The sequence below is a fragment of the Homo sapiens genome, chromosome 20 (genome assembly GCF_000001405.40).
Source record: "Homo sapiens chromosome 20, GRCh38.p14 Primary Assembly".
In the NCBI taxonomy this organism is placed as follows: Eukaryota; Metazoa; Chordata; class Mammalia; order Primates; family Hominidae; genus Homo; species Homo sapiens.
This window is the reverse complement of record NC_000020.11, coordinates 4,709,759-4,710,260: the sequence shown is the minus strand read 5'-3', so window position 1 is coordinate 4,710,260 and position 502 is coordinate 4,709,759. Positions and strand designations below refer to the sequence as shown.

The 502-nt window shown below is 50.6% G+C and overlaps 1 annotated feature.

Moving 5' to 3' along the window:
- Positions 1–502: an enhancer, noted in NCBI's record as "H3K4me1 hESC enhancer chr20:4690405-4690906 (GRCh37/hg19 assembly coordinates)". NCBI's record gives its function as "activates a minimal SCP1, AML or CMV promoter by ChIP-STARR-seq in naive H9 embryonic stem cells {active_cell/tissue: H9 hESC(naive)}" and the evidence as "EXISTENCE:reporter gene assay evidence [ECO:0000049][PMID:30033119]".

The following is a 502-nucleotide window of genomic DNA, read 5'->3' as shown; positions in this document are numbered from 1 at the left end:
CATGCAGGAAGGGGACCTTGCCAGCCTTGCTGCAGCAGCCACTGAATTACAGCCAACACTCCCTGCTTTATGTTAATTAACTTCTAATCAGCATAACTCCAAGCCAGGTGTGTTTGCAGTGTATTTGTGTGTGGGAGGAACATGATCCGGCGTAAAGTTTTAGATCTTCCTAGGTCTGAGCCAAACTAAACCACGTTGGTTGATCATGAAACTCTTCACTTTGTGCCAGACTTGGGGGTGTGGTGGCTGGATTTTAGGAGCTATATCCAGAATGGAAACACGGCGATTTGCTCTGCCATGGGCGCTATGAGGTAGGCACCCTTGGTGATCCTAAGGTGAGCGGTGGGTCCTGACCCAGTCTGTGCAGAGGAATACGGCGACTCCGACGGTGGCATCTTCATTGTGAGAAGCATGGGGAGTGTGTGAATGTGGGGTCCCCACAAGGCCCTCACAGTCCTGAGAGTGCCTTTGAACTGTGTTGAGAGTGACAGACATACTCTTA